Source organism: Homo sapiens, chromosome 2 (assembly GCF_000001405.40).
Source record: "Homo sapiens chromosome 2, GRCh38.p14 Primary Assembly".
Lineage (NCBI taxonomy): Eukaryota > Metazoa > Chordata > Mammalia > Primates > Hominidae > Homo > Homo sapiens.
The window spans coordinates 126109484-126118588 of NC_000002.12; the positions used below are offsets into that span (position 1 = coordinate 126109484).

The following is a 9105-nucleotide window of genomic DNA, read 5'->3' on the forward strand; positions in this document are numbered from 1 at the left end:
GTATTTTTTTCTTTTAAATATCATTTTGATATAATTTCAGACTTGTAGAAAAATAGTTAGAATAGCACAAATAATTATCTTACTGTTTACTCATTTTCCAAGAGCTAACAGTTTACACCATTTTCTTTTTTCTTCATAACATGTACGTATTTTTTCAATACATATTCTCTTCACCCCAAAACACTTTATATTTTCTAAAATAGAAATTTCATGATTAGGGGAAAATAATTAAAATCAAAATTTAATACTGCTATAATGCTATTATATATAGACACAATTTTTGCTAGTTGTTCAATGTTTTTTATAAAAATATTGCATCTTTATTTGTTGCATTTAGCTGTAAAGACTTTTTACTTTTCTATAATCTAACAGTCCTCCAAGTCCTTAACAGCTCTTTTTATATTTCATTTATTTGATAATTTTTGAGAGTTCTGACAAATTATTTCATAAAATGTCCTCAGTTTGAAAGTGGTTCATTGTTTCATCATAATAAAACTATCATTAGGTGTTTTTGGCAAGGATGCTGCAGAAGTGATATTGTGCCTCTCTTAGTGCATTGTATTAGGAAACACATGATATTGGCTTGACTGATTTTGGCAGTGTCTGTCAGACTTCTTTGCTCTGAAGTTTCTGCTTTTTATTTTTTATTATAAACATCTTGTGGGAAGAGGCTTTGAGACCATGAAATATCCTGTTAGTGGTTAAACTTCCACCCATTAGAATGATCCACTGATGATTCTTGACTCAAGCAATTATTACCATGATGGTGGCCAAATAGTGATTTTCAAATTCCATTTCTTCTTCTACATTTACTAATTGCCTTTCTCCTATAAGGAAGAATTTTATTATCTTATGTATTTATGTACGTATATATAAATGTATATATATGTCAGTATTAGACTAATGAATTATTTTATTCAATAGATTATGATTCATTACTACCATTACTTATTTTATGATGAGTTTCTCCCATACTAGACCAGTAAAAGTCATTTAAATAGGTTCTTTTGTCCTTCTAATAAGTTCCCATCATTTTTTAAGCAATCTTCTACCTTCTGGAACAAGAAGACATTTGAGACTCATATACACTTCCCATACACAGTCTGGAATTTGCTATTTCTCAAAAAGATCAGTTGTTCCCTTTAGTGGAGAATATTAGAAAACTAAAATCTGGGTGCTGCATGTGTTCATTGATACAGGGATTTCATTGCTTCTAGGCCCTCTAAACTGACAGAATTAGAAAATCTACCATCTATCTTTCTTCTCTCTCTCTCTCTCTCTCTCTCTCTGTGTCTCTCTCTATCTATCCATCTACTCATCTATCATCTATCTTCTATCCTAAGTCTGAGCTAATATTGATATGTTCAACTTCACTCCAATGTCACAGAATTCATTTTTTTTTCACCCTACCTGTTTATATGTTTGTAATTCCCTTCTCTGATGGAGAGAGCTTTATTTCCTTCCTACCCTGGATACGGGGCAGGGGAAAACAGGGGCAGGGATTCTGGCCAAGTAACTGCCAGGGGTCTGAGCCCGAGCCACTTGTTGCTCACTCCCCTGGTATTTCACCTTCTTGTTTTGTACTTTTTGAGAACTTCTCAAGCAGAAGAAACGTGGCTTCCATTATTGTAAATAATATATTTTCTCATATGAACTTCATTTGTATTCAAATATTTTAATTTGCTGAGATGATGGATAATTCCAGGATGGCGTGAGAGAGGCAGTTCTTGGAATTAGCCTTGCACATGAAGAAAAAAAGTTCTTTACTTACTAAGTACATTGTTTGGGCAAGGTCAAGGGCAGGTGTTAGCAGAGTTATCTCATGTTCAGTTTAAATTATCTGGATTGAGTGGAGTTGGTTGGGCTAAGGCATACCTAATTTATTGTATTTGCCAATTTAATCTCCTCTACTGGATTGATAAATGTATAAGCACTTCTCAAGGTTTTCTGTTTAAAGATATTCTTCCCTTCCTGCCATATATGTACAAATGGTACATATACGTACAAATGTACATATATGTACATTTTCCATCCTGATGGCTCAAATTTCTGTCTTACAGTTCCCACATTTGGATCCCTAATTCAGACTTGCTTTCTTAGTTCCATACTTCAAAATTCTACTCAATACATCTATCTAGACTTTTCGTATAGGTAATCAAAGTCTCAATGCTGAAAAGTCAACTCATGATCTTCATCTCTAACCTTATTTTCTCTAGCTATCTGTGTTCTATCCACCATAGTCACACAAGCCAACAAGTAGATTAGATGCTTTTCACTCATCTCTTGTTTATTCTTATATTCCATCAATGAATATTTACTGCTTTTTTGTTTAATATGTTTTAATTCTATCAATTTATTTCCATCTCCTCTGTAACATGCTAGCCTAGAATAAGATTTTTTCTCTTGCCTTACAGAAATATTCTCTTGTCTGGTCTTGTGACATCAACCTTTCAATTTGTATTTACCTCCATAAACAAGTATATGTCTATAAAATATAAATGTGTTTAAAATAATAACTTAAATTTCAATAAGTACCCTTAAAGTCAAGAAGATCATGTACAACTTTGCGTCTACTTATTTGGTATAACCTAGAGTCAGCCACAAGCACCACCATCTCCTTTCTGTGATTCAGCAGCATATTAGCACCCTCTCATTATACCCTCACCTTCTCCGCAGCACTTACCAAAGTTGTAATCAGATATCTGTGAAATAAGTGCCATGTTTAAATCCACCACACAAAAAAATGTTCTATGAGGAACAGGACAAACCTGTCTTACTTGCCTTTCTAATTCAAGCATCTACTGAAGTACTTGGCACATTACCTAATTGCCCAATATTAGTTGATTGTTAAAACTAAGCCTTTATGGGTTGGGGACATTTAGATAAATATAGAGAAAGGTTTCCAAGCAGGAGATGAAGCATAAGAAAAACTGTTGTGATAAAAAAAATTAACATTCATCTTCTTGTCAAAAGAATATAGTTGCGTATGGAAAGTGCACCAAAGACAAAGTTTAAGGGAAGTTTTCCTTAGAGCCAATATGGAATTTTCCTGAAGGATTCATTTTAAAAGGCATATATCAGCAATGGGATTTGGCATAAATACTCCTGTGCATTTGCACTTTCCTATGCTATCTTGCTTGGCACCAACAGCCCATTGTTGAGCTATACATTCACAATACAAAGTCTTTCTTCTTTCAAGTTACAGAATAAGCCCTATCATGCAATCTGTGATCTTCATTTTCAGAAAACTTAGAGTAACTCAGGTTTCTATTCAATGATTTACTCTTAAATGTAATTTATGCCAAATTAGATTATACTTTTGTGAGGCTCACTTTGTTTTGTTTGCTTAATTTAGTTTGTGAGTTAAGCAGTCTTAAAAAAAGTTGACATTGATATTAAGACTTTTCTCCTTTTCTCTCTTATGCATTCTCACAAGCACCTGTGCTTACCTTTAGCATAGCCCTCATCACAGTGACTGTCACACTTTATTCACTTGTCCATACCTCCCTTGACTGTGCTGCCTTTAAGAATAGACTTTATTTCTCTGTTCTTTTTATCTAGCATCCAATGTGGTATCTTGCTCATAATAGATGTTCAGGAAATGCTTATAGAAAGGATGGACAAATCAATGAATGACTCTTGTATAGCAAATAATTCTGACTGATTTTATCAAGGGCATAACTGGAGCTGTGTGACACAAAAAGAGAGAAAATATAAAAGCCCGTGATAAGATATATCAAACAATAGATTAAAAGACTTTAGTTTCTCATTCACGTTGCTTAATTGGAGGTTACATGATATTACGGTACATTAAAGGGAACATAAAATTGTGCCACAGAAATTAAAATTCAGCGTTGTCACCTTCTTTCTCTGGGCTAAGCACTGAAATTTTCTGAGCCTATGCTCACTCATTTACATAACACATTAGAAACGATAATATATACCTTGTGGGTTTATTTACCTTGTCAAGGTCAAACAGGAGTGAAGGTGGTACATCATGACATAATATACAAATAATAGTGTTTTAATTTAATAATTTATTTCTAATGAATATTGGCTATTCAAGTAACTGATTAAATTCATTATAAAATACACAATGAATTAAGTCCTCTTTGAAAGAGCAATTCAAGAGTAAAGAATCTCTAATGTAATTGCTGTAAATGTGAAATGAGAACGTGTTTAGCGTCACCCTGAAAGGTCAGAGGTCTGACTCAGAAAAACAGCAGCACCCTCACTTCATCTCATGAAATGACAGCAATCTAAACACTGTCCATTTATGGGGGGATGGGAGAAAATGGGAGGACACTAAAAACAAATGTTCTATGAACATAAAATTCTAGTTCTGAATTTAACCAAACACAAGATCTACTACATGTCACTTAAATTCTCTGTTTCATCTTTACCTATAACAGTTTCATTGAATTATGAACCATTTTCCAGGAATGCAGAGAACTTAGATCAGAATTTATTCAGTATGAGCAAACTTCAGAAGCCAATAGGTGGCACATAAATCCAAAAACGTGGTGGTCATACCTGCAGCAGGTGTAGCACATTCTTCCAGGAAAAGGTTTTGACATTTGAATAGATGACAGAAAGTCAAGGCCCAGAAGCAATTTGGGAATTACTCTTAAATTCCTGGTGAGACTAAACAAAATGAAAATTCTTTCACATCTATCCATGCATGTGACTTTTTATACAAAACTTCATAACAAATGTTTGAAAATGGGTAGCTCCCATCATAAAACAGTGCATATTATGAATGCAGCCATGCAGAATATGTGTGTGAAATATAGGCTATCCTAGGATACGGTGCCCAATCAATGAAAGCATGCCACATACATTCTCATTTATTCCACAATAACCCATAAGGCTGGCATTATAATTATTGCATGAATGTCTAGAATTAGGAAAGTGGGGATTAGAAAAGAATCTCTGGGTTCTTTCCTCAAAGCCACTGAACTTCTTACAACTAAATAGCAGAACTGAGATAAAAAGCCAATTTTCTTGACTCTAGGACTGAGGGGATGTGATGATACATAAATTGTTTTGTTTTTCTACTTTCCTAAATATATTAAATACTGTAATATTTTCAGTATAAATTGAAAAAAAAACACAAGAGTTATCCACTTATTTCAAAATGCCTCTATAACTAAAATTAATTTTGGAATTCCTGTTTACAACTGCATTCAGAATCAGTAGCATGCCTGCTTAAACAGATAAATATTATGAAAGAGTTTGATATGAGAAATAGATGACATTTAGAAAGACTAGAGAAAAAGACCAGTTACAAAGTTGATGAAACATATTTTATAAAAATGAAATGTGACTATAAAGTAATAACTGTTTTCGTTTGTTTGTGTTTGTATTCCTGCTGCTGGCATACTGGCTCTAAAATCCTGTTAAAAGTGGGGCTCGATATTTGAAAATGTTTCAAATATATGAACAAATGCATTTTCCCAAAGTAACATTTTTTAAAGGAAAAATATGTAAATGTGTAATTAATGACTTTTTTTCTTTTTTGGTGAAGGGGGCGTGGAGTCTGCACAATGACAGAACTTGGGTTTTTACTCAAAATGTCTTAATTCAAATTCTGACTCATCTAACTTCTACCTTGAGCTCCAGTTTCATCTGTAAAATGGAATAAATAATACTTGCCAATAAGCTGTAGTAGGACTTAATGACGGTGCATGTAAATCATGAAGCACAGAGCCACACCTAAAACACCAACAAATATTTTTCATATTTTTAAAAGTCTCATTACAACGTTATAAAGGAAAGAATACTATATTGTCCTTGAAAGGTGACACCACTGCAGAAACAATTAGTAAATTACATTTAACAAAACTTGGAAATCATTTAATATTATATTTGTATTAAAAAATACAACATTAGTCAACTTCTAAGACAGAAGTGATTTATATACTATTTTTAATTATCTCTTTGGTCAGCTTGGGAGCATAACAGACAGAAGGTACCAAAACTGGTGTGGCTAAATAATCACTGCAGCTGTAGAGTAGGCATTGATACTGAATGAGTGATTCCTCCCACTTTAATCTTTTATGATTTTAGCTATTTTAGGGCCCACATCTTTTCACATAAATTTTAGAAAAAACTTGACAATCTCAAACAACTGGGGCTCCCACTGGTCCTTGCTGGCAGCTGAGGCCTCCTTCCTGGAGGGCAGGAGTCATTTCCATATTTGAGGTGCCTGCTGCTGCTAGGCAAGGAAGGGGAGTCTCCAGTCTGCAGGGGACAAATAATATTTAGTGAGCTAGGGGCTTGCTTATTTTGGTAGGATCTTCCCTGCCTGTGTGGAATAGAGAACACTTCATGAAATGGATTTTGTGTGTGTGTGTGTGTGTGTGTGTGTGTGTGTGTGTGTGTGTGTGGCAAAATCCTTCTCCTATTGTTCCCTGACCTTCTGTCTCTGTGTAGAGGAGTGGAATCTTAGGCCTGGTGGAGAAAGATGTGACGGCTTTTTTAACGTGTAAGTTTGACTCTGCTACATATCCTGTTATTCAGTCAAACAATAATGTAAGTGCTGCTTTGAATGGATTATGCGGATGTAATGAAAGCCCCAATTAGCTGCCTTTAAGTCATGGTGATTATCCTGGATAACTGCATGGCTCGGACTGAATCTGCTGAAAGGTGCCAAGGCAAGACTGTGGCTTCCCTGGGAGGGGGAAGAGATTCCACCTGTGGATAGCAGCCTGCTCCATCCCCATGGGGTTCCAGTCCTGCTACTGAGCTTCTCTTCCTGACTGTGTGGATGACAGCTTCAACTTGTGCTTGTGGCTTTGAGCTTGCCTGTGACCCTCCCTTCCTGACTACCTGTCTGACTTTTCTGCTCCCCTAGTTGAACCCTGACTGATATAATCAGTGACCCTTTAATTGAGCATTTCAAGCCAAAATAAATCTTATCGTAATCAAACATCTGTCGAATGGCTTCAAAAGAAACCTATTCCAATTAAATAAATAAAAAGCAAGTGATAAACAATGGATTTAATGACTACATTCCTGTCAACTTAGCTTACAAAACCACTCAATAATCAAACTGTTATTTTGGTGCAAATTTAGCTCATTACACCATCAATCTGATTGGAACTGTGATAGGCGGGTAGCCATTAGAAATCAGCAAAATTGTTACATTGATGAATTTGTTATCATCCTGTGCCATAGTCCAGCGTTGATGCTTTTCTTTTAAATCCAAGTATCCACTCAGTCAATGAATAACTGGCCTCCCACTGTGGGTCTGTGCTTCAGTAAATTCTTCCCAGAAAATAGAAACTACAAAATAGATTTCTGGCTTCATGGAGATTTTCTTCTAATGGTAGAGGACTTAAAAAGTGCACATATACAATGGCAAATGATTTTATTCCCTAAATAAAAACATTCATTGAGTATCTGCTCTGCAGCACAAATGCCATCCTAAATGTAGGCATATAATGGGAGAGGTAGAAATAAAATTTATCATGTGTATCCACAGTTAATTACTGTTTTTAGCAGCTCAGTAATTTACTAGATCACTCATTCATTCAACAAACTATTATCTCTCCCAGAACAATATTTGCATTGCTATTGCACCTGGGGTTTTGTGTAGTATACAGTGAAAAGGACAATTCTGGGTTTCCAATAGCACAGGAGTTTTAATTAGCAACATGATTTCCAGTGGAGTCGTGAAAAATGTGTTTGCATCAGGCCTAACTAAAAAGAAAATATAGATCAAGTTAATTTAGAAATTGTTCTCCAACTGCAACATTTTGTAATATTCTTCTATTTCAGCATGTTTCTACCCCTTCCCCTAAACCCTCTCACCATGATCAAACAATTTACATCATATGGTATTTGACAAAGATATTAGCAGACACAGGAGCATCAACATCGCCAATGAAATTTTGACTTCAGCTTACAGCAAAGATCTTATATTACTATTTTCCTTTGGGCTCTCAGTATACCCACCAGTATCCATTCTTGAATGGTAAAAAATCTCCATATAACTCTGGACTATACTTAATAAGCACTTTTAGACAAGTGAAAAAATAACACAAATTCACCTAATGACCTGTGGGATACAGTGGGCAAAACATCAGGAGAATATGCCAATTTGCCTTGATGGGCCCTGGAAGGGAAGAGCACCATAAGAGTCCATAATCTTAGAGAATGTAATTGGGGAAATGTTGACCAGAGGACACTGGGCTTCACACATGGGCACATACTTGGAGAGACCAATATAGTTTCCTTAAGATGAAGCCATGTTAATATTTACAAAGCACCTTTTTAAAGCCAAACATTGATCTGGTAGACTAATGAGACAATTACTACCCTCAAGAATCTGGCAGGATAATATGGAAAATGAGAATCTAAATTAAGTAATTCCAAAACCACACATATGTTATGATAGGTATGTGCTGAGTGGCAGTGTAGAGTGTACCTATATACCTTGAGAGGAGAGGCTCATGCGACTTGCCCAGAGAAGGAGCTGTCAGAGGTATGTTTTAAAGGGTGAGCAGGATTTTGTTGGGAGGACAGTTCAGGCAGAGGAAATGGCATGGATGAATTCACAGAGGTGGAAAGGAGAATGATGACATCACAATAATTTTAGAAGTCAACAGATACCATAAAAATAGAAGTCTTTTTCCTTTAAAATCTAACATATTTAAGAACCAACCAGCCCCTTATTGTAGTGTTTTGTCATAACATAATTTTAGCCATGGAACTTGATCAAATTGTGTTATGAGTCATTTGACAAGTAAGCTTAATTATTTGTTAAGTAAATTTAGCAATTTATGATGCCCTTCATAAACATACCTCTGGCAGCCCAACACACATAAATAAGTAAGCAAGAATAAATATGTCTACATTTATTTTGTTCACCTGTAAGAAATTTTTTAAAGTTCATAAAGTATTGATTAGGTAGTATTTATAAATAAACAGTGTAAATATGAAATAATGATTGACCTTCAAATGGAATATTTATTTTTTATAAAAAGATAAGGACATTTGATACTTAATATTTCAAAAATGTCTAATATATAGTTAATAACTAAAATTAATATATAATAAGTAATATATAATTAACAAGTAAAATTATATAATATATAATTG

At 34.6% G+C, this 9105-nt stretch overlaps 1 long non-coding RNA gene across 1 annotated transcript; it reads right to left on the bottom strand.

Annotated features, from left to right (window-relative positions):
• Nucleotides 1–615: 615 nt before the first annotated feature.
• On the bottom strand, nt 616–8502 carry LINC01941 (long intergenic non-protein coding RNA 1941). Its single transcript, NR_146970.1, has 4 exons — nt 8440–8502; nt 4534–4644; nt 3450–3687; nt 616–827 (listed from the first exon to the last, which is right to left on the bottom strand). It is a non-coding gene; the product is annotated as a long intergenic non-protein coding RNA 1941 (long non-coding RNA).
• Nucleotides 8503–9105: the final 603 nt, after the last annotated feature.